Raw genomic sequence first — 25,177 nt, 5'->3', positions numbered from 1 at the left:
GTATTATATTTAATATATTTATATTTATATATATATATATTTGAAGGTCTGGAAGCAACTAAAGCTATAATCAACAGAGGTTATTTAAATAAAATATAGCATTTCCAGGTAGCCACTACAAAGAGTGAGGCTGATCTATTTATGCTGAGAGAGAACGCTCTTTATAGATAATACCGTTGAGTGGAAAACACAGGGGCAAACCAGCATATGCATAATGTAACCGTGTGTGTCTTTAAAAAGAGCAGGATTGCATGGACGTGCATATGTTTCCTATTTGCATGAAATTATCTGGAAGGACAATTAAAAACTAGTAATTAGAATTTCAGATGGTGATGGATGGTAGGATGGCAATGAACTGTATTGAGAGAAGATTGAAACAATTAATAAGTTTGGGGTTGATATAGATAGAAAACCTGGAAACAATAAAACAAAGGCAATTATAAACTCCAGGAAAAAACAAAAGTTGGGATGGAAGGAGAAGTAATCACATTGGACTAAGGAGCCCAGCTGTGCAAGTTTGGAGTATTTATCTAACCAGAATAACTCCCTGTGATGGACTTGGCTCTGTGGGGAAAGGGAAGAGGATTAGATGGGAACTGAATTCTCATATTCCATGGTAGGATGTACACATTTGATGTTTGACAATGAATAGTCTGGATCTAGAGATATAATGCTACCTAGCTATGAGGATATAAATGCTAAAACAACCTGCCGACTTGGTTTCCTAGTTTTCTGGCTTCTAGGGGTCACCTGCATTCCTTGGCTCATGGTCTCTTCCTCCATCTTTAAATCCTGCAGCATGGTATCTTCAAATCTCTTTCTCTGGTCCCCCTACCTCTCTCTTATAAGGCCCAGTACCTTTGTGGTTATATTAGCCCCACCTAGATGATCCAAGACAGTCTCCTCATCTCAAGCAAACATATTCACAGATTCTGAGGATAGGCCATGGACATTCTTGTGGGGGCTGTTTTTCAGCTAGCCACAGAGGCATTTGATCCCCTAGGAGCCAAACCCATGTGTGAGCCACATGTCATCTCCCCAGGAACCAAAATAGTGTAGCTCAACTGCCCTCTGTTGAGTGAATGAATTAAGTGTGGTAACAGAGAGGTGCAGGAAAGAGTAGGACTTTCAGATGGCTTCCTAGCTATGTAGCTATGCACGGGTCACTTGACCTCTCTGAGCTGAGCTTATGGAGAGGCTGTGAAGATGAAGAAGAGGCCACCCTGCTCTCATTTCCAGCACCCATGCCATCAGCAGGTGCTGTTTCATCTAAAACGGTGCTATCCAAAAGAACTTTGTGATGAGCACAAAGTTCACTTAAAAGTTCACTTAATTGAGCTCTTAAAAAGTGGCAAGTATATTGCAGAACTGAATTTTTAAGATTTTAGTTAATTTAGATAGCGGTTCCTGCCTTGGACGGTATGATGCTGAAATATTTCTCATCTCTGTCCATTCCTCTGACTCCACCGCCTCTTCCTAGTTCAGGGTCCCGTCACCTCTCACCAGGGCCTCTGTAGCAGTCTCTTAAGCTCCCTGCTCCCATTGCTTGCTTGCTTCCTTCCTTTAATAAATATACATTATAAGAATATTCACTCATTATTCATTGAATAAATATTCATTAGCATGCTGTCATAAAGTGTGGATTCCAGAACCTAACCCCTTGGGTTTGAATTCTGGCCCCATCATCGTCTAGTTAGTTGTATGCTCCAGGAAATAAGTCAGTTCACTTCTCTGAGCCTCAGTTTCCCCATCTGTAAAATGGGAACAATAAGCACCCCATTGGGTTGTTGGAAGGATGAAATGAGTCACTACATGTGAAGAACTGAGAAACAGGCCACTGCCCCATGGTGAGCACTTTGTAAGGATCAGCTGCTATTGTAGTGAAAGTGCTCACTATTTTTTAAAAATCCTTCCTGCAATCCAGTATCCATCTTGCAGTTTGTTTGTTTGTTTGTTTGTTTGTTTTTGAGATGGAGTTTTGCTCTCATTGCCCAGGCTAGAGTGCAATGGCGTGATCTTGGCTCACAGCAACCTCCACCTCCCAGGTTCAAGTGATTCTCCTGCCTCAGCCTCCCGAGTAGCTGGGATAACAGGCATGTACCACCATGCCTGGCTAATTTTGTATTTTTAGTAGAGACAGGGTTTTGTCATGTTGGTCAGGCTGGTCTCGAACTCCTGACCTCAGGTGACCCGGGGAGCCTCGGCCTCCCAAGTGCTGGGATTACAGGCATGAGCCGCTGAGCCTGGCCCATCCTGCAGTTTGTTGTTGTTGTTGATTTTTTTGTTGAGACAGAGTCTCACTCTGTTGCCCAGGCTGGAGTGCAGTGGTGCGATCTTGGCTCACTGCAACCCCCGCCTCCTGGGTTCAAGCAATTCTCCTGCCTCAGCTTCCCGAGTATTATGCCATCATGCCCAGCTAATTTTTGTATTGTTAATAGAGATGGGTTTTCTCCATGTTGGCCAGCCTGGTCTCAAACTCCTGATCTCAGGTGATCCACCCACCTCAGTCAGCCTCCCAAAGTGCTGGGATTACAGGCATGAGCCACTTCGCCCAGCCCATCCTGCAGTTCTGATTCTCCCCACACTGGTTCTAAAGTCCCGTTCCCCTCGTGAAATGGTTTCCTGCACCCATGAGAATAAAACTCAGATTCCTTACTGTGACTTGGAAGACTGAGTGTGATCTGCTCTTCCCTCTTCACTTCCTGCTGTCCTCCTCTGTTGTGGCCCTCCAGCCATGCTGGGAGCCATTCTGTCTCATACCTGGGCCCAGCATTTCCCTCCCTTGGACCTCTGTCCATACTGTTTGCCCTGCCTGGCCCACCCTTCCCTCCATCCTTCCCACAGGGCTCTCTTGTAACTTTCAAGGCTCAGCAACTCCCTGGCTTCCCCATCCACAGCCTCCCCTCTCCTCCCTTCCCCTCGATCTTCTCAGTCACATCACCCAGATGTAGCAATGATATCTCCACCACGAACTATCTTGATTATTTGTTTACTTGGCTATTGTGTATCTCCATCTCCTGGAATGCAGCGTTAGCAAGGACTTGGCACACTGCCCACACACAGCCAGTGCTGGAGAAGGAGGCCTTAGCCATTGTTAGGAAGGAAATCCCAAAACGATCAGACTTTTATTTGCAAATGCATCCAGTCAGCCCAGAACCACCAACATCTTCAGTCTCTGTATTCAATTTTATTTTGCTTGTTGTGAAATTCAGCCAAAGTGACTTGAAGGACCTACAAGTTGACAGCAGGGCTGAGCTTTTACGCGTAGTTGGTGCTTAAGAGAAGCCAGGCTGGAGCCAACTGTTTGGTTATGCAGTTAAGAAACTGAAAATTGGCCGCGCACTGTGGCTCAGGCCTGTAATCCCAGCACTTTGGGAGGCCGAGGCGGGCGGATCACGAGGTCAGGAGTTCGAGACCATCCTGGCTAACACGGTGAAACCCCATCTCTACTAAAAAAATACAAAAAAATTAGCTGGGCATGGTGGCGGGTGCCTGTAGTCCCAGCTATTCAGGAGGCTGAGGCAGGAGAATGGTGTGAACCTGGGGGGCGGGGCTTGCAGTTAGCAGAGATCGCACCACTGCACTCCAGCCTGGGTGACAGAGCGAGACTCTGTCTCAAAAAAAAAAAAAAAAGAAAAGAAAAGAAACTGAAAATTGGCCACGCACCGTGGCTCACGCCTGTAATCCCAGCACTTTGGGAGGCCGAGGCGGGTGGATCACGAGGTCAGGAGTTCGAGACCATCCTGGCTAACACGGTGAAACCCCATCTCTACTAAAAAAAATACAAAAAAATTAGCCGGGCATGGTGGCGGGTGCCTGTAGTCCCAGCTATTCAGGAGGCTGAGGCAGGAGAATGGCGTGAACCTGGGGGGCGGAGCTTGCAGTGAGCTGAGATCACGCCAGTGCACTCCAGCCTGGGTGACAGAGCGAGACTCTGTCTCAAAAAAAAAAAAAAAAAAAAAAGAAAAGAAAAGAAACTGAAAATTGGCTGGGTGTGGTGGCTTATGCCTGGAAACTCAGGGCCTTGAGAGGCCGAGGCGGGAGGGTGGCTGGAAGCCAGAAGTTTGAGACCAAACTGAGGAACACAGTAAGACCCCATTACTACAAAAAATTTAAAAATTAGCTAGGTGGGATGGTGCATGCCTGTAGTCCCAGCTACTCAGGAGGTTGGGGAGGGAGGATCACTTGAGCTTGGGAGTTAGAGGCTAAGTGAGCTATGATGGCACCACTGCACCTCAGCCTGGGCAACAGAGCAAGACCCAGAGACAGGAAGGAAGGAAAGGAAGGGAAGGAAGACAAGAAAGGAAGGAAACTGAAAGCTGAATAAATGTAATTTTTAGGCCTGAGTTGTATTTTGTCTAGCATGTAATCCATCCAGTATAATCAGTTTAATTAGAGGCCATGGGCCTGGCTGGAGATAGAGCTGTGTGATCAGGGGGCTAAAGTAAGAGGAGGAGGGTGGTTTCACATAAAATTAGAGAGAGGTAAGGGGGTGCTTCCAGGCCCTGGGGAGGAGTTTAAACTTTCGTCTAAAATGGATGACAGGCTGGGCATGGTGGCTCATGCCTGTAATCCTAGCACTTCGGGAGGCCAAGGCAGGCTGATCGCTTGAGCTCAGGAGTTCAAGACCAGCCTGGCCAACATGGCCAAACCCCCTCTCTACAAAAACAAAAATTAGCTGAGCGTGATGGCATGTGCCTGTAGTCCCAGCTACTTAGGAGGATGAGGCAGGAGGATCTCGGTTCACTGAGCCTGGGAGGCAGAAAGTTGGCACTGAGCCAAGACTGCACCACTGCACTTCAGCCTGGGTGACACAGTGAGACCCCATCTCAAAAAATATATATAACAATAAAATAAATAAATGAAATGGATGAGAACGTGCTAAGGGACTCAAGCCAAGGAAGGACAAAGTTTAACCAGTGGGTCAAATCAGGCCCTTGTCTGTCTGTTCCAGATAAAGTTTTATTGAAACACAGCCGCACCCACTTGTTTACGTATTTGCTTTTGTGCTGCAGTGGAGAGCTGAGCAGATGTGACAAAGAATGCGTGACCCTCAAAGTCTAAAATATTTACTGTCTGACCTTTTACAAAAAGAGTTTGCTAACTCCTAGCTTAAACAGTGGGAAAATGTGAATATTATTTATATTGTAATGATAGGATGAATGCTGAAAATCATTATACAAACAATATATAACTTCTGTGGAAGCAGTGGTTATAAAAGTAATAATAGGTGGGCACAGTGGCTCACACCTGTAATCCCAACACTTTAGGGGGCCGAGGCAGGAGGATTGCCTGAGGCCTGGAGTTCAAGACTATCCTGGGCAACTTAGCGAGACCCCACAAAATCAAAAAATTAGCTAGGTGTAGTGGCACATGCCTGTCATCCCAGCTACTCAGGAGGCTGAGGTGGGAGGGTCACTTGAACCCAGGAGTTCGAGATTGCAGTGAGTCAAGATTGTGCCACTGCACTCCGGCCTGAGCAAGAAGCAAAACTCTGTCTCAAAAAACAAAAGTAATAATAACTAACATTTTGGCATACCAGGCATTGTTCTAAGCATTTTATATAAATGTTCACTCATTTAATCCTCATAAGAATCATATAAAAGGTCAGGCATGGTGGCTCATGCCTGTAGTCCCAGCACTTTGGGAGGCTGAGGCTAGAGATCACTTGAGACCAGGAGTTCGAGACCAGCTTGAGCAACATAGCGAGACCCCTGTCTCTACAGAAAATTTAAAAATCAGCCAGCTGTGGTGGTGTGCACCTGTAGTCCCAGCTACCTGGGAGATTGGGGCAGGAGTATCACTTGAGCCTAGGAATTCTCAGCTGCAGTGAGCTATGATTGCATCACTGCACTCCAGCCTGGGCCACAGAGTGAGATCTTGTCTCAAAAAAAAAAAAAAAAAAATCATACAAGGTAAGTGTTTTTATTATACCCATTTTATAATGGGGTAAAGAAACTGAGGTATGGAGAGGCTAAATGACTTGCCTAAGGTCACCCAGGTAACTGGCAGAGGAGGGATTTGAACTTGAGCAACCTGGTCCTGGAGCCCATTATGCTATTCTGCCAATTGATGCTATAGGGGAGAGAGGCGTTGCTTCTGCCTGGGGTTTTGCAGGACGTGTAGGAGTTGTACAGTACAAAATGCCAGGGTGCTTTGCCAGTCACATAAAGACCAGGGACTGAATAGCTGTGAGGTTCATCAGAGACAATTTGGCTTTCCTACCAGTGGCAAACCACAGGCTGCAATGGACTTGGCAATATTCGACCCTGGGAGCCAGGACCAGCTGCAGAATTTGTAGAATTTTGCAAAATGAAAATGCTGGCTGAGTGCAGTGACTCACACCTGGAATCCCAGCACTTTGGGAGGCTGAGGCGGGCAGATCACATGAGGTCAGGAGTTCGAGGCCAGCCTCGCCAACATGGTGAAATCCCATCTCTACTAAAAATATAAAAATTACCCAGGCATAGTGGCGGGCACCTGTAGTTCCAGCTACTTGGGAGGTTGAGGCAGGAGAATCACTTGAACCTGGGAGGTAGAGGTTGCAGTGAGCCGCCATCACACACTGCACTCCAGCCTGGGCAATAGAGCAAGAGTCAGTCTCAAAAAAAAAAAAAAAAAAAGAAAAGAAAAAAAATGCAGAGCGTTTATAAAGAATTAGGAAGAATTTCCAGATGGCAACATTAGAGTATGAAGCACAGGGTGGTCCCTGTGAGACGGTACAGGTCACACTCATGAAGCCAGCCTGGCTGGGGGATTAAGTGGCCATTGGGTGGTTCTTCCCAGCTGCTGGGGCTGGACTGATTAAAAGGACTTGGCACTGGGGTAGTTACAAGGCCAGGAGGCCATAACGTGGTCATGAGTCTGGTCCTTCTCCGGGAAGAGGGAGCTCAGTACCAAATTCCCCAAGAAATAAGAAAGGAGTTTAGGGTGCTCAGACCAGGAAGGCATCTTCACCCCTAGAGGTCAGGGGTCAGAAAAGCCAAGCTATGAATGTTTCTAGAACCAGCTCTAAGCACATCAACCTTCAGACGCCCACGAGCCTGGAGCTTGGGATGTTTTCTTTGGCAGAACCTCCCAGGGCAATTTATTTTTCTCAACAGAACTTGGAAACAGTGGAGCCCAGCAGCAACATGGGAAGGGGTAGATGCCCAGAGTTTATGTCCCACTCCCCATCCCAGGCAAAGTGGGAGACCATAGCCACGGATAGGGCACATTGATGTCTTTGTTTTTTTTTTTGTCTGTCTGTTTGTTTGTTTGTTTGTTTGTTTTTTGAGATGGAGTCTCATTCTATTGCCCAGGCTGGAGTGCAGTGGCACGAGCTCAGCTCACTGTAATCTCCGCCTCCTGGGTTCAAGGGATTCTCCTGCCTCAGCTCCCCAAGTAGCTGGGACTACAGGCACCCACCACCATGCCCAGCTACTTTTTGTATTTTTAGTAGAGACAGGGTTTCACCATGTTGGCCAGGCTGGTCTTGAACTCCTGACCTCAAGTGATCCACCCGCCTCAGCCTCCCAAAGTACCGGGATGACAGGCGTGAGCCACCACACCCGGTGATGTCTTTGTTGTAAAAGGGAGGAGGTGAGAGAGGTTCAAGGCCAGGGTGGAAAGGAAGGAACTATTGTGGGAAAGGAGAAGTGAGCAGCAGCAGTCTAGGAGCACTGGTTTGTCAGCATGAAGAGTGTGATCCACACATGTTGTTTGTGCACACTGCTGTCCTGATTCTTGTCTTGGATCTGAATAGGTTCATGACCACCTACGCAAGTGGTTTCCTACATCCAAAAATTTCTCTCCTTTCTCTTGCTTTAATCAGAATCCAACCCCTTCACTTTAGAATGAAGTCAAGCAAGGTTCTGACGTTAGCCTGATTGAAGTAATTCATACTTAGGTGTGAATGACTGAGTGGCTTGGTTCATTGATTGGGGCAAGTAAAGCCTCCTGGAATATATGGCAGAATTCCAGTGGAGTGGGGCTGGGACTTCACTCTGTCTTTTCTCTTTGCTGATTTGTTAAAATAAAAGGGTAGGAGGCAGAACATGGGCCCTGGTGTCAAGTGGACCTACGTTCAAATCCTGCTTCTCCTCCATTTCCTATCTGTGTGAAAGCAGGAGCAATTGTGGGCTGGAGCAATTTACTTCAAACCTCTCTTTGCCTCAGTTTCCCCGGATGGGTGATGGGGATAATTAATAACTCTCTCATTAGATTGCTGGGTAGAGTAAATGAAAAGATCTGTGAGCCCAAAGCCTAGTACTGTGCAGGCCTTCAACAAATATCAATTCCCCTTCCCCTGCCCTTCTTCTGGCCTTAGAAAGCAAGTCCCTAGAGGGTTGGGCCTGTGTCATGGAACAACTTGGTGAAATGTAGTAAAAGGAATTCTGACTGCATTAGAATCAGAGACCTGACTTTCCATTCTGACTGTATCCCTTCTTTGCTGTGTGACCTAGGGAAAATTGCTTACCCACTCTGGGCAAGACTCTTCCTTCTATAATAACATGGAAGCAGGAAGAGGATAAAGGAAATAATTCATGTAGAGCATTTAGCAAAGGGACCCTTCCCCCTATATCCCCCCAATGACAAACGCCAATTCTTCTCTGTCTTAAGAGATGGGATCTTGCTATGTTGCCCAGGCTTCTCTCAAACTCCTGGCCTCAAGGCATCCTCCCAACTCAGCCTCCTGAGTAGCTGCTATTATAAACGTGGCCAGTTCTCTGCTGCACCTGGCCAGTTCTCCTCTTTTACACACACACACACACACACACACACACACACACACACACACATATATTCTGGTCTTAGTTTCCCCTTCTGGGGAAATGGGGTAATGCCTTCATGGTCCCCATTTCATAAACTGCCTCTGAGGCCATGTGAAATAATGTGGCCATTGGGAAGGAAGGCCTCTAGGAAGGGAAGGGACCACACAAAGTCACCGCAAGATGTTTCATCATTCTTGGCCATCAGACACTTGATTTCTGGACAGTGGGACCTGTAGGATTAGGCACAGCAATTTGGGGCACTTTTTTTTTCTTTCTCTTTCTTTTTTCTTTTCTTCTATTTCTTTTTTAAGCCATGAGCCAAGTTATTAATGGGCCTTTGGCAGAGAAAATTAATTTCTTTATTTCCTAATTAGGAAGAAGAGCAGAGACTGTACTAGCTTTGGTGGCACTGGTTCAGCACAGAGAACCTTGGGCTGACCTCGGGGTGAACAAATTCTTTTTTCAACTTAAAAAAAAAACTCTCTTATATTTTAGAGTATTAAGTGAGCTCAGAAAATAAAAGAGATAAGGCAAAGAAAGGAAACACAAAAAACAAAAGTAAACTGAAAAATAGAAGAAGACGATAAACAAGTGAAGTTTTGGTCAAGGCACTGTCCTTATCTTTCACTAGGAGTGGTGGAACATAGAGGCAGTATCTGGATGGAGCGGTTCCATTGTGATGATTTCTGGTGGCCAAAACAGGCAGCTAGTGCACGAAAGCCATCTTGGTAAAAAAAAAAAAAAAAAAGATCTACCTTCATATTCCAGGAGGACATACTTTTTTGATACGACAAACCATGTCGTGCTGATCTAAACATATCAGTCATTTACACTTTAGTGTGAATTACTTCAACTGGGTTTATTCTTAGATACTTGGCTGAGATCATCAGCCAGCTTCCTGATACATGGGGTGGGATTCCTCAGAGGATAAAGGGGCTTGCATCTGCCCAGTGACCAATGGGATAACCGGTTTTTTGGTAAATTTTTCTTTCCATAAGGGAGCTTCTTAAACTTTAGGTCCTGGTACTCCAGAGGCACTTACATCCTTTCTTGAAGGCTGCCTTGTGCCTGGTCTTTCCATTTCTAGCAATGCTAATGATGTCTGCAGGCGGATCACGAGGTCAGGAGATCGAGACCATCCTGGCTAACATGGTGAAACCCCGTCTCTACTAAAAATACAAAAAATTAGCCGAGTGTGCTGGTGGGTGCCTGTAGTCCCAGCTACTTGGGAGGCTGAGGCAGGAGAACCAGGGAGGTGGAGCTTGCAGTGAGCTGAAATTGTGCCACTGTACTCCAGCCTGGGGACAGAGTGAGACTCCATCTCAAAAAAAAAAAAAAAAAAAAGTAGATAATTCCAAATAAACCTGTTTGGACCTATGTAAGAAAACTAAGGTTTTCTTGTTCACTCTATTTTTTTAGAGATGAGGTCTTGCTCTGTCACCCAGGCTGGAGTGCAGTGGTGTGATCATGGCTCACTGTGGCCTCAAACTCCTGGGCTCAAGCCATCCTCCCACCTCAGCCTCCTGAGTAGCTGGGACTACAGGCATGCACCACCAAGCCTGGTTAATTTTTCTTATTTTTTATAGAGTCAGGGTTGTGCTGTGTTGCTCAGGCTGGTCTTGAACTCCTGGACTCGAGTGATCCTCCTGCCTCAACTTCCCAAATAGCTGGGACTACAGGCATGTGCCACCATGCCTGGCTAATTTTTAAATCTTTTTCTAGAGGCAGTGTCTCTCTGTGTTGCTGAGCTGGTCTCACACTCCTGGGCTCAAATGATCCTCCCACCTCAGCCTCCCCAAGTGCTGGGATCACAGGCATGAGCCACCACATCCGGCCCACCTTTTCACTCTTTGTATCTGAATTCTTTTCTATGTCCTCTTGGAAGGAATAGATTGGGCATTGGACCTAGGCTGGGGACCCAGTTCCGCTCACTACCAGAGATGTGGCCTTGGGCAAGTTACTTCCCCTCTGGGAGCCTCTGTTTCACCCTCTGGGAAATGGTGGTGATGATCATTATTGTCCTGCCTGGCTCATGGAACTGCGGAAAGGTCACCATGGAACGTGTGCATAGATGATGTTCCCGTGTCTTTCAGAGGCGAGTCTGGAGCCGGGAAAACCGAAAACACCAAGAAGGTCATTCAGTACCTGGCCGTGGTGGCCTCCTCCCACAAGGGCAAGAAAGACACAAGTATCACGGTGAGTGGCAGTTCCCAATCAGAGGCCATGATTTAGCCAACCGGTCTCCAGCTTGCAGCCCAACCGAGATACAAACAGAACATCATTGCAAGAACTCAGGCCCCATCTGACTACCCCTCCCCTGAAGACTCAAAGAGGGACCGTCTTTTTGGCGAGCAGGCCTGTTGAGTGTGGGTGATTTCTTGGCTCAGCTAGAAGCATCCCTCCAGAAGGGGGCCCGTTTTGTGAAATGAGAATAAGCCCTTTCCTTCCATAGCGAGATCTTCCTCCACGTCGGGGCTTCTCAGTGGTGGCACTGATGTCATTTTGGACCAGATAACTCTTCCTTGGAGGGGCTTCCCTGTGGCTCGTAGAATGTTTCACAACATCCCTGGCCTCGACCCGCCAGATGCCGACAGCCCCCTTCCCTCCAGTTGTGACAACCAAAAATATCTCTAGACATTGTCAGATGTTCCCTGGGGTGGGACAGTTGCCCTTGATTGAGAAGCACTCCTTTCATGAATCTCTGTAACGTCCCAGGGGTTAAGGTACCTTTTGGGTTCCCGGATTCCTCCACGTGTCCCCCTGTCCCTGGGATGGAGATGCTGGTATCACTCGGCCCGTGGGCTTCAGTGCAATGCCATTCAGTAACTGTGGATTGAGCACCTACTGTATGCCAGGAACCACTTGGGGTGGGGACCTGGGGATAAGTCTGAGAGATGCTGTTATTCTCTTCTCTGAGCTTCCAGACCTGTGGAAGAGCATGTAGTTGTCAAAGAATCCCTCAAATAAACAGATGATGACACGGTATGACTAAGAGCTTGGGAGGAAAAGAAGAGCAGGTTTCTAGAGTCATCACCTCTAGGGCCCATCCTTCTCTTCCTCCTCGTGTGTCAGCCCTGCCCCATCTATCCCACAGGAGGGGGCACGTGGTAGGGCCGCTAGGACTGGCCGGTGCCTCCGTCTGCAGGTTTGTGGGTGGGAAGATGGTAGGATGGAGATCTGACCACGGCATGGGGTGTCTCCAGTGTTCGCCATTCCAGATGTCACTTTGCGTCCTCAGAGGGGACTCTGGGGCAGCCACCATGGCCGGCTTGTCTGGAGGCCCTTGGAGATCTAGGATGGGCGCTGGTCGTGGCTTTGGAGAACTTTCCTTCTCCAAACAAATGCAGGAAACTCAAGATTCAGCATCCTAGAATTGTCTCTGGCAAGTTGGTTTCCAGCCATAGTGAGTGGGAACAATGGCCCCAGAGGCTGTGTGGCAGTTTAAACACAGTTTCCACTGCCTTCCCTTTCCCTAAAGAGTAAACACAGGAGATAATACTTTCTAACAACTCATCGTTATCAAGGGCCTACTATGTGCTGCTTGTTTTGGCTGCATGCGTAAACACATCTCAGACATTGTCTCACTGGATACTGTTTTAAGGAGCCTAATGTGGCCCCAGTAATTATGAAAACCTTTGAAATGTCTGGATCTCTAAGAAATTAGAAAAAGGAGGGAATGGCTGAGCATGGGGGCTCATGCCTGTAATCTGTGTTTTGGGAGGCCAAGGTGGGAGGATGGTCTGAGCCCAGGAGTTCAGGACCAGCCTGGGTGACATAGTGAGACCCTGTCTGTACCAAAAAAAAAAAAAAAAAAAAATCAAGAGAATTAGCTGGGCCTGGTGTGCATGCCTGTAGTCTTAGCTACTTGGGAGGCTGAGGCAGGAGGATTGCCTGAGCCCAGTAGGTTGAGACTGCAGTGAGCTGTGATCGTATTCCTGCAGCTAAACAGAGAGAAAAGAAACAGTATCAAGGAAAAGGAGCTGACCAGTCTGTCTGGGAGACTCCAGGCTGTTTGGGGGGATCAAAGTCATATATTCTCCAGCCCCTGATGTCCATGTGATGGAAATAACGCTGACATTTGTTTTATACTGTGTTGTTCAACCACAGCAAGGCCCATCTTTTGCCTACGTGAGTAACTGAGAGTGTTTTCCTGGTGTGTAGGGGAGGCACGGAGTGAACTTAGATCTGCATGATCCTCTTGCACCCACCGAGTCCCGTAGCTGGTGGTAGAAATGGGGTAGGCCCTAGAGTTTCACAACTTAAATCAGTAAATGCACCAAAATACCATCCTGTGGGTGTCTGATGCCAGGGAAGGGTGTGGGGGTGCATTTACCACCCACGGGACGCCTATTGGAGTCCCCAGGGTTGCGCTCCAGCCTGAAATGGATTTCTCCGGTTCAGAATGAACCCCTGCACCCTTCAAAGCATCCGCTCCTGGTACCCTTGACTGGAACAACCTAGACAGAGATGTCTGTCCCATCTGGCTGAGTGTTTTAGGACTGTCAGGCCCCAAAGCTTCCCTGGCTCGATGGACAGTCGATGGCACAGCTGTGGCATGCCTCCCTCTTCTCTCCCTGCCATCATCCCTAAGTGTCTTCCCTCAGCCCTGTCCCTGGTGCACCAGTGTGTCCCTGTGCATGCGTGTGCAGTGCGTGTCTGTCTCTTGCATGCTGGTTGCTTGACTCAAGCCTCCAGAAACAGTCTTGGAGGTCGCGATGCACTAGCTTTGGTGGCGCGGTAAGGCCCCAGCTACGCAACGCATAACCTGGTCCTGCTTGGACCTGTGCATATGTAAACTCATCTCTAACACAGAGCTTGGGGGGCTGATGTGTGGGTCCCAGCCTAGAAGAAACCCACAGGTGTCTTCCTTGGCTCCCGAAAAGATCATTCAATCCATCTTAGTTAGACCCTGGGTGACTGTGTTGCAGATCAGAAGGAGAATTACAGTTCTTATTTGGGATCTGCTTTTGTGTGACCTTGGCCGAGTCAGTTAACTCCTCGGGGCTATGGTTTCATCATCTATAAAATTGAGGGTTTGAACCAGGTCCCCCGATTTAAAGCTCTCTTGCCAAGACTTTTCAACCTTACCTGCCAGAATCCCCATTCTAGAAAGGGAGCCTTTTTCAGAGAGCATGGAGACCCCAAGTTTATGTGAACAAAAGTGATTCCTTTAGTCGTCTTCCCACCAACAAAGAAATGCCCGTGGTGCTCCTTGTAAATTTCCACCAGTCTCAGCTGTGGTGATTCCACTTGTAGCTGAGATTTGTATGCGGATGAGGCTTTTGCTTCATCTTTCTCTGGGAGCTACAAAAAGGAGGATGTGTGGACAAATCAAAACAGAAACAAATAGCAGCTTCCTGCTTTGTCCTGTAGACCAGGTACCCTGATGCCTTCCTAGCATGCGGAGGAATGAGGAGGAAGCCATGCCCATCCTTGTCCCCTCTAGACACTTTCCCGGCTCCTGTCCAGCCCAGCCCTGATGCCTGGAAAAATAAGGAAGGGAAAGCAGGAGGGGAGGACAAGGAGAAAAACTCCCAGAATCCAGGGCCTGGAGGCCTCGGGGCCCAACTGCAGCCGCCATGTTTTAGGGCTAGGCCAAGAGCAGCTCGTTTGCTTTCCCAGCTTAACTTACCACATTGGCCCTTTCCTGCCATGATTAATCACGTGACCGCGTTTGTGCAAAGGCATCCCGGCAGAGGGGGCCGGTGGGCTGTGTACAGTCTCAGCTTCCTTTAACCCAATGAATGGAGCTCAGGCAACCTGCTTTGAAGCTTTATTCCGCAGTCCGCTAAGAGGATTCCTGGTGGGTTTTGTGCATTCCTTACTTGTCTGCTGTAGAAGACTTCAGAAAACCAGTCCTGAGAAAGAAAAAATTGCAACTTAAAAAAAATTGCACTAAAATAATTAGAAGGAGGCTTGTAGTGGTTTAACTTGAAGAAGGCTGCTTGTTAAACATGAACAGCAGCACGACTGCCATGTACAGTGGGACAGGTGGTGCACTGCACAACTCCGGGGGGCACCATTCATCATGATGTAAATGACATCACCGACATTGTGCAAGGCAGTGGCTTTGAGTGGCAGTGATGTTGCACAGATGAGCAGGCCCTGGTCTTGAAAAAAGTGACCTTCCTAGGGAGCAGATGTCCTAGCTATTAGAGAGCTCAGACAGTTGCTTCTCTTCTGAAATCCTCCTGTAAATCTGAACATTAGCATCAGGGTCTAAGAGGAGGTAGGAGATAGGAGAGAACCTGTGGGTTAAGGGCAGAGTTTTGTGACAACATCCATCCAAGGTAGAACTGTCAGGACCTAGGTTGCTTTCTCCAATAACTAGATGTGAATGAATTTTAGGGAGAGCTGGAAAAGCAGCTTCTACAAGCAAACCCGATTCTGGAGGCTTTCGGCAACGCCAAAACAGTGAAGAACGACAACTCCTCACGATTCGTAAGTAGCAAAGCCACATGGATTTTCCAGAAAAGCTTTGGTGTCATCTCCTGCCTGGGGCTGCAGAGTGTTTGCGTGCAGAGGTGGGAGGGGCATCTGACCCTGGAGAGATGGGCTGTATCTCACAATCTTGCAAGGGCTCCTGCCTCTCACTCTCTCATTCATTCATTAATTTATTCACTATTCACTCAACAAATATTGATTGGCCTGGTGCGGTGGCTCACACCTGTAATCCCAGCACTTTGGGAGGCTGAGGTGGGAGGATCACTTGAGCCCAGGGGTTCTAGACCAGCCTGGGCAACAAAGCGAGATCCCATCTCTATTATTAAAATAAAATTTAAAAAATTAGGTATTGAGCACCTGGTATGGGCTAGACCCTTATATCCGATACCATTTTATGTAACAAAACATGAATTGAGTGCCAACTGTGTACCAGGCACACACCTCCTCCAAGAAATACTTAGTAAGTACCTACTGTGTACAATTACTCTGGTAGGCACTTTTACATGTACCACCATTCTCTTTGTTTTTTTCTCATTTGCTGTTTTTATTAAGTGCCTACTGTATACCAGGCACTCAGCGAGTCTCACAGGATTGCGATGAATAGTTCAGATATGGTTCCAGCCTTCATGAAGCTGGTTCTTCCAACTGAATAACAGAGAGTAAGTGAGGCAGGGGGTACTACCTTCCCATGCACACTCCCCCAGGCTCCAAAGCAAAAAGTTTTTGCCTGAGCCCAACAGGGCAGGGGAACTCTGAAAGTGGATGGTTGATGATAGGTAGACAACAATGGTTTTATTGTGCAAAAGAAGCGGTTGTCTCCGTAGGAGGGTCAGAAAGATATTTTAGTGAGAAAAGATGAAGGAAAAATTGCCTCTGCATTCCAGGAGAAGGGGGTCTCTGAACTGTTGCTCGCTGAGATGGGGCCCTGTGAAAGACTCTTTGCAGAAAGCTCTGCTCTGCTGAGCAAATGCACATGGTGGTCCCTGACCCTGTGATCCCCAAGGCCCATTTTAGTAACAAACAATTACATAATGTCTCCTTTCCTCGCCCGAAATTAGAATCATAGATAGTATCACCTCCTACACGTATTAGATGAATACACATCAGCATAATGCCCTAACTGGAATATGAAGAAGAAATAACATAAGACAATTCATAATGAAAGTGTGCATTTCAGGCCAGGCGAGGTGGCTCATGCCCGTAGTCCCAGTACTTTGGGAGACTGAGGCGGGCAGATCACTTGAGCTCAAGAGTTTGAGACCAGCCTGGGCAACATGGGGAAACCCCATCTCTACAAAAATAAATAAATAAAGTGCATTTCAGCATATCAATGCTCGGGCCAGGCCACACCAACAGAAGACACAGTAAGAGACAGACACTTAGGTCTATCCACGGCGACAGCTACAAATACAAGGAAAAGGGTCAAGTTCAGGCACTGATGATGTTGGCATGGGATTTTCCAGAATGGCAACTGACTCTCAGTGAAGCGCTGAACCAAAGAACAATCTTCTCTAGAGTCACACAGATGGGATATTCTTGTATTAGAACAACATTTTAAACACTTGTTAATGCTTTCATTTAAAAGCATAAAAATCTAGACCAGGCACAGAGTGGCTCACACCTGTAAACCCAGCACCTTGGGAGGCTGAGTTGGGAAGATCACCTGAGGTCAGGAGTTTGAGACCAGCCTGGCTAACATGGTGAAACCCTGTCTCTACTAAAAATACAAAAATTAGCTGGGCGCAGTGACACATGCCTGTATTCCCAGCTACTCGGGAGGCTGAGGTGGGAGAATTCCTTGAACCCGGGGAGATGGAGGTTGCAGTGAGCCAAAGTCACACCACTGCACTCCAACCTGGGCGACAGAGTGAGGCTCTTGTCTCAAAAAAAAAAAAAAAAAAAAAAAAGCGTAAAAATCTAAAGTCATAAAGGTTAGGTTCTAAGCCTGGCTAATTACAAACAGATTTTTACCTCCATGAGTGGCAGGTGAGACATTGGAAGAGTCATAAGGGATATAGACAAGGATTGGCATCAGAGACTCTCCAGGTCATTGCAGGACTCCCAAAATATCCTTGGCCCCACTGTTCACTAACAACAGCGGCCCCCCCCCAACATGTGACAAGCCAAATAATGGCTTCCACCGATTTCCAAAATCTCCATAGCAGATGTGCCGCCTCCACTGAGAAGCACTGCGTTTGCATGTTCCAATTCTGTGCAATGTTTCTAGCCTGTCATAAATGGAAGCACGTGCAAGACAAATCCCTAAAAACATCCTCCACTCACTGGCGTCCCTGCCATCTTGGGAAGGAGAGTGAAGAAGGTGCCTGGGCCTTGCCTGTGACCAGCCGGCTCTCCCTGGCTCCATCTGGGATATGGTCATCCCAAATCACTCTACTGCATGTTTCCCAATGGGGAAAGTTTGAAGGTTTTGTCAAGGACTGAGCAAGCCTAGGGGATTGTGTCCACACACGCCAACACTTCCCACCATGTTATGTCATGATGGGGGAAAAGGATGAAATCCTGTCTCACCTGTTGAGGAAACAGGAAAAGGGTTCATGCCAACAGATGGAGGATTGGGTTCCATCCTTGGTTTCATGGCTTAGCTGAGGCAGGTAGATAGGGCCATCTTTGGAGATACTTGTTGAGCCTCTAGGGCCAGGAACATGAGCCATTCCTGCCTAAAGGACATCCTACACAGGGCCTGCTTGGGCAGTGTGGCCAATGCATACTCACCTGTCCCACAGAAAAGGTTTAATCCATAGTTGGATGATGTGGATGTTTTGGAGCAGGGTGGGGTCTGGGGAGGGAGCCCTCTAGCCCCTGAATATGGAAAAACCTTCTTTCTGCTTAGGGCCCTACCTCTCAGGAGCAACGTCACGTTGGACAAGTCACTTGATCTCTTTTAGCCTTAGTTTTCCCAGCTTTAAAATGGGGATAGTGGGCTGGGTGTGGTAGTTTACTCCTGTAATCCCAGCACTTTGGGAGGCTGAGGTGGGAGGATTGCTTGAGTGCAGCAGTCTGAGGCCAACCTGGACAACACAGTGAGATCCTATCTCTACAAAAAAAAATTTAAAAATTAGCCAGATATGGTGGTGCATGCCTGTAGTCCTAGCTGCTTGGGAGGGTGAGGTCATGGGGAAAAGGGGATTGCTTGAGCCCAGGAGTTCAAGGTTACAGTGAGCTGTGATTGCACCACTGCACTCCAGCCCTCGCTGACAGAGCAAAACCTTGTCTCTAATAAATAAATAAGTTTTTTTAAATAGGGATAGCCATGATGGACTACGGTCATTGCAAAAGCCGAATGAAATTGATCTGTGAACATGTTTTACACGTTCTGTTGCTGTCAGGCCTGGGGTGGTTTCAGCTCAGCAGATGTTGGTTCCGCCTGACAACTTGACCTGTGGGGTTCTGAGTGTTCGCAAGAATCTCCCCGCCCCACCTCCCATCCTCTGTACCATCTGCCTCCTGCTTGCCCACAGCATGGGGTTAACGGCTGAAGTTGGGCAGCAAAGCCTGAACTGTGTTTTCCTGTTGGCAGGGCAAATTCATCCGCATCAACTTCGACGTCACGGGTTACATCGTGGGAGCCAACATTGAGACCTGTATCCTTTCCCTGAGCCTGGGCCAAATGGGTACCCCTGCCCCCTACCAATCTCCTGCCCAGAGGCTGGGAGAGTCCAAGAGCCACCTCTATCTTTCCAGCCTCTTAGGTTTCTTCCAGAACAAATCTCCCCTTAACAGCAGGCATTGTGGTGCAGTGGTTATACATGTGTGGACCGGACCCCTGGTTTGAACCCTAAACAAGCAGCCTAGGCTGCATGTGATGCTCAAATGATCTGTCCCTTAGCTGAGTGACCTTGGGCTGGTTACTCCACCTCTCTGTGCCTCATCAGCAAAATGGGGATGATAATGAATGGTACCTGCCTCATAGAAATGTGAGAATAGAGTGAATGAACTCATATAAAGCTCTAGGCACCATGCGAGGTGCAGAGTAAGGGCTGGCTACGTAGTGTCTATCGTATGATCTTCACTTCATCCTTATTCAGCCATTGTCCGAGGCCAAATTCTGGACCTGTCGTCCTCTTAGAGAGTTGGTCTGTGATCGGCTCCACTTCTTAGGTAGGAAATTGATGAAAACAGAGTTTACCCAGAAGAATGCTGGTATCGCAAGGAACAAGTAGAGCATCTCTTTCATGAACCTGAGCGGTGAAGTGGAGCCAAGTTAGAAATTTCTGGACGTGGGGGAACAACCAGGTCTAGAGTTCAGTGACTGATCAGCCTCAGGAGCTTTGCAGGCGGCCCTAGGGCTCAGGCTTCCTGTGGAACACGTGCTTGGCAATGTATAGGACCTGGGGGCCTGACTTAGCTTCTTTCTGCACCTGAGGTCCTCTAGCAGCACCTAGTGGTCCCATTTTTCCACGTTATGTGCCCTGGATAAGAGGGTGGGTTGTGGAGTAGCTTCCTCTCCACTGTACTTGTCTAAGCTGTGGGGATTTGGGAAAATCACTGAAGCTCTCTGGGCCTCAGTTTTGCCTCGGTAAAATGGGGGTGATTGCACCTAGTTTCTGGAGCTGGTGCAGGGGTTAAATGAAATAATATGCATAATAATATGCACAGCCCTTGGTACGGTACTGGGCCCAAAGTGAGCATCTCATAGGTGGTGGCTATTGCGTTAACTCAATGTTTTCTACGTTTCTACTTTAATCTGCCCAAACCAGCCAGGATTCCCATCCTGCAGCTAGGAGGGCTGTCAGGCTTCGGTCAAGTCCAGAGCCAGGGCCCTCTTGTCCTGCAGCCCTGCACACACCTCTCAGCAATTCATTTCCTGTGTTTAGAGCGAGCCCCAGGCATAGCCCCGTCCTTCTGGCCTCAGCCTTCCTTTTAGATCAGTGGTTCTCAAAGTATGTTTCCAAACCAGCAGCATCAGCATCACTTGGGAGCTCTTTAGAAACACACATCTCAGCCAGGCACGGTGGTTCACGCCTGTAATTCCAGCACTTTGGGAGGCCGAGGCGGGCAGACCACTTGAGGTCAGGAGTTCGAGACCACCTGGCCAATATGGTGAAACCCTGTCTCTACTAAAAATACAAAAATTATCCAGGCGTGGTGGCATGCACCTGTAGTCCCAGCTACTCAGGAGGCTGAGGCAGGAGAATTGCTTGGATCCGGGAGGCAGAGGTTGCAGTGAGCCAAGATCACACACTGCCCTCCAGCCTGGGTGACAGAGCGAGACTCTGGCTCAAACATACGTGCGTGTGTGTGTGTGTGTGTGTGTGTATGTGTGCGTGTGTATACCCATGTACACCATGAGAAAGTCTGAGAATCACTGCTTTCCAGATTGGACATGGGCTGTGGTAGCCCGGGCACTGCTAGCTGGCTTTAGGACTTGAAGAAGACAAGGTCTGCTGATCTAGCCCCATCATCCCGCACCATCATGCTTAGTGCTGTGGAAATCCACCCAGTACAGTAGCCCAGCCTCCCAGCTGCCCTCTCCCATCACCCCGGACCCTGTGATCTCCATGCCACCCTCACCTGCCCTCCCCTCTGCTCTCCCTCCTGCCACCCCGCATCGCGGAGAAGCTCTCCTGAAATTAATTAGTGTGGCGTGTTTACGGTCTCTCTCGCCTCCATCCCGTCAGACCCCACTCTTGGAACAGAGGGCATGGAAGACAGCTTTGCCACTTGTTAGCTGTATCATCTTGAGAAAGGACTTCTCTTCTCTGAGCCTCAGTTTCCCCTTATTGAAAACACCGATAATAGTTGCACTTATTTCCTAGCATACTTTGTGAGGCTTCAGTGAGACAATTTATATCAATCATTTCACACAGGAATGAATCATAAATCATAGGATCATAGATGGTGTCATTATTTGTATTCTGTCATGTCTGAAGACAGCTCATTTTAAAGAAGATTTGCTGGTGATGGCTGTTAGGGGAACATCTCGTTACCATTACCTTCTTCCTGGAGCCTTTTTATGCTTTTTCTTTTCACTCTATTCCCCTCCCTTTTTTTTGCATCTGAAGTCTGCTGGCAGCACCCAGCGGTTCCATTTGTCCATAGGGGCAATGGTCAAAGTTAGACATTACCGATCCCAGGGGTAGAACTGGAAAGTCATCCCATGTGAATTGGGTGTGACAGGGATGGAGGTGGAAGACCAGAGGAACACCCGCAGTATCCCCAGAATCCCTAACTCCCTCCAAACCAGATCTGCTAGAAAAATCACGGGCAATTCGCCAAGCCAGAGACGAGAGGACATTCCACATCTTTTACTACATGATTGCTGGAGCCAAGGAGAAGATGAGAAGTAAGTGACTAGCAATGACATGTGATTGGATGGCTTGAGCCTTCCCTTTCATCAGAATCCGGGGTTAAGGGATTGGCTATTAAAACAGTCTCAGATCCTGCCAGAAAGGACCATGTCTGTGAGTGACATATGAACAGTTCTTCATCTCCTCCCAATGAGTGAGTGTGGCTTGTGTTCAGTCATTCTCATTTACTGAGCACCTACTATGTGACATAGTAGCCATCAACTCCAATTAGACATTAGATCATTAATGATTCATGTCTCATTAGACCAGAGAGCATCAAGTCCAACTAGACACAATCTACGCCTTCAAGGAAAGGGAGAAAGACATTTGCCTTACTTGCCAATTTATAAAACTTGCAAATATAAAAGATGCATTCTGGTTTTATAAGGAATTTGCAGGGGCAGCAGGACTAAGCATTTTTCATTATACATGTTTTGCCAGTGACTTTGTAGAACAGGGGTCAAGACTTTTTCTGTAAAAGGCCAGATAGTAAATCTTCAGGCTTTGCAGGCCAGGTGGCTTCTGGCACAGCTATTCAACTCTGCCATTGTAATACAAGAGCAGCCACAGGCAATATATAAACCAATGAGTGCAGGCAACACATAAACCAGTGAGCTCAGGCAACACATAAACCAGTGAGCTCAGGCAACACATAAACCAATGAGCACAGGCAGTACATAAACCAATGAGCACAGGCAGCACATAAACCAATGAACATAGGCAACACATAAATCAGTGAGTGCAGATGCATCACTGTGTTACAATAAAACTTTATTTACAAAAACAGGCAGTGTGCAGAAGTTTGCTGACCTCTGTTGTAGGGAAAAGTTTTTTTATGTAAATATAATACACTGTATACCAAACTCCAGTAGGAAGTTATGAGTTCTGGACCTGCAGCTGTTTACTAACTCTTAAAAATATATACAAATCGCATAGCTTAAAAAAGGAATGGATCAGTGACTATCTGTACATAGTAGAGTCTACATGTTAGTAATAAGTTTTGAGTCTGAAATTCTATGGGAACAATACAGACTTTGCTTCCCATCTCTTTTGTGGCCCAAGGTTAGTTATTTTGGTTAAGACAGTTACCAAAAGGATCTGTGTGAGCTCAGAACTTCGCTGTGTCGGAGTGTATTGTAGACCTCAGCTACTAGGGGGTGGCATTATCCATTATTTAAATTTCCAGGGTGGGGCAAAGTGGCTCATGCCTGTAATCCCACACTTTCGGAGGCAGAGGCGGGCGGATTACCTGAGGTCAGGAGTTTGAGACCAGCTCGGCCAAGATAGTGAAACCCTGTCTCCCCAAAAATACAAAAATTAGCCAGGTGTGGTGGCTGGCGCCTGTCATCCCAGCTACTTGGGAGGCTGAGGCAGGAGAATCACTTGAACCTAGAAGGTGGAGTTTGCAGTGAGCTAAGATTGCACCACTGCACTCCAGCCTAGGCGATAGAGTGAGACTCTGTCTCAAACAATAAAAATAAGTTTCCTTAATGGCTGGCTTTCAGGAACATAGGCTATGAGGTGGAGCAATTTTTGGTAAAGGGGGAATGCTGAATGGATTTTTTATGTACCAGCAAACATGGTATATTAGCAGTTACAGTGCAGGACCCTGTGGAATGGGCCAGGGAAAAATGTTGACATTCCTTTTCCTTTTATTTGGCACCCAAGAAAACAGTTTGGTTGTTTGGTACCTTGGGTTCCAGTTTTGTGCTTTGCCTCTGGTCTTCCAGAAATGGGCAAGTATAGGGCTCAGAACTAAATTCCCAGGGGCCGTTTGTATTCTAGATGATAGAACTGGAAAGATGTTAGGCTTTTAGAAAGAACCAAATATTGCTAAATGCATCCAAACTCGGGATAATGAAGTCTTGGCAAAGACCTCAATCCTCGTGACTTGAATCAGGCATTTCAAGTTAATCCAAAAGTTTGAGTTAACTGGTGCCTTCAGTCAATTTAACCTCGAGTTTATCAAGCAGCTTCCAAGTGACTTGACCCATAAAAGACCTTGATTTTGAAAGAAAAATATCTTGCTGACGTCTCTCCAAAAGTATAACCGAATCCATCCTAATTAAAGATTGATCTGGAAGAGGATCCTTGATGTATTGGAGGGTATAATAAAAGCAAATGGTGCAGGAGAAAGAAAGGCAATTATAAAGTTGGGGGTGGGGGAGAAGCTGAACAACAACAAAGGAAATGTAATCATAGGATACAGTTTGACACAGAATATCTAATTAATGTCATAAAAAGGGAGTTGGCAAACTGTTTTTGCTAAAGGGTCAGTAGTAAACGTTTTAGACTTTAAGGACCAGATGGCCTCTGTTGCAACTACTCAACTCTGTTGCCTAGTGAGAAAGCAGCCATGAGAAATAAACAAGGACATCAGAGCAGCTGTGTTTCAATAAAACTTTATTTACAAAAACAACAGGGGACCAGATTTGCCAACCTGTGATATAAGCCTTATATATTGATTCAACTAAAAATAGCTGGGGGTGGCTGGGCACGGTGGCTCACACCTGTAATCCCAGCACTTTGGGAGGCTGAGGCGGGTGGATCACCTGATGTCAGGGGTTCAAGACTAGACTAGCCAACATGATGAAACCCCGTCTCTACTAAAAATACAACAAATTACCTGGGCATGGTGGTGGGTGCCTGTAATCCCAGCTACTCGAGAGGCAGGAGAATTGCTTGAATCCGGGAGGCAGAGGTTGCAGTGAGCAGCCAATATCGCACCACTGCACTCCAACCTGGACAAAGGTGAAACTCCCTCTCAAAAAAAAAAAAAAAAATAGCTGGAGGAAAGGAAAGGTAGTATAAGAAAGCTGCATTTTTGCCTACCATAGCAGGAAGTCACTAGATACTATCTAAACTTGACATATCCAGAAATCGCCTATTACAGCGATTGTGCTTTGCCTCTGGTCTTCCAATAGGCCAAAAGCACCTGTTACTTTTGGCACTGAGGACTGGTTTCCTGGAAGAAAAGTTTTCCACAGACTGGGCGGGCAGGGTTGGGGGGATGGTGTGGGGATGATTCACGTGTATTACATTTACTGTGCACTTTATTATTACATTGTAATATACAATGAAATAATTATACTAGTCACCATAATGTAGAATCATTGGGAGCTTGTTTTCCTGCAGTCCCATCGGGGGGTGATGGGGGACAGTGACAGATTATCAGGCATTAGAGTGTTATAAGGAGGGCACATGTGCAGCTCACGATAGGGTTTGCGCTCCTATGAGAATCTAATGCTGCTGCTGATCTTATGGGAAGCGGAGCTCAGACAGTGATGCAAGCGATGGGCAGCAGCTGCAAATAGCGGATAAAGCTTCACTTGCTCACCTGCTGCTCACCTCCTGCTGTGTGGCCCAGTTCCTAACATGGACCGGTACTGGTCTATGGCCTATGGGTTGGGGAACCCTTGGCCTATGATATGTAATACATAATGGTATATACATTATAATAGGCTAGTATATATAGCAAGCCTATTGTACAGAGAGATAGTGGTAACTGCCAGATAAAAAGCAGCTAAAAGAGATAAAAGCAGGTATTATGGAGTAAGGTAGAGTTGGAGAAGGGATGTGACAGGAGAATGCTATTTTTCATTATAAACCTTTGGTAGTAATTGATTTTTAAAACTCATGTGCCTGTTTGAATTTGATAAAAATTTTATAAAT

The 25,177-nt window shown here is 47.1% G+C and overlaps 1 protein-coding gene across 4 annotated transcripts in view; it reads left to right on the top strand.

Moving 5' to 3' along the window:
* Positions 1-25,177, top strand: part of MYH11 (myosin heavy chain 11) — a 153,894-nt gene that overhangs the window by 59,450 nt on the left and 69,267 nt on the right. For 2 of the 4 annotated variants that reach the window (NM_001040114.2, NM_001040113.2), the window contains exons 5-9: positions 10,847-10,949; positions 12,861-12,881; positions 15,102-15,194; positions 18,736-18,799; positions 21,403-21,501. In NM_001040114.2, the coding sequence (NP_001035203.1) occupies positions 10,847-10,949; positions 12,861-12,881; positions 15,102-15,194; positions 18,736-18,799; positions 21,403-21,501 (380 nt within the window). The remainder of the gene's footprint in view (positions 1-10,846; positions 10,950-12,860; positions 12,882-15,101; positions 15,195-18,735; positions 18,800-21,402; positions 21,502-25,177) is intronic. The other 2 variants (NM_002474.3, NM_022844.3) reach the window with 1 other exon arrangement.

This window comes from Homo sapiens, chromosome 16 (assembly GCF_000001405.40).
Source record: "Homo sapiens chromosome 16, GRCh38.p14 Primary Assembly".
Classification (NCBI taxonomy): Eukaryota; Metazoa; Chordata; class Mammalia; order Primates; family Hominidae; genus Homo; species Homo sapiens.
The sequence above is the reverse complement of the archived record's forward strand: the minus strand, read 5'-3'. Positions and strand labels throughout refer to the sequence as shown.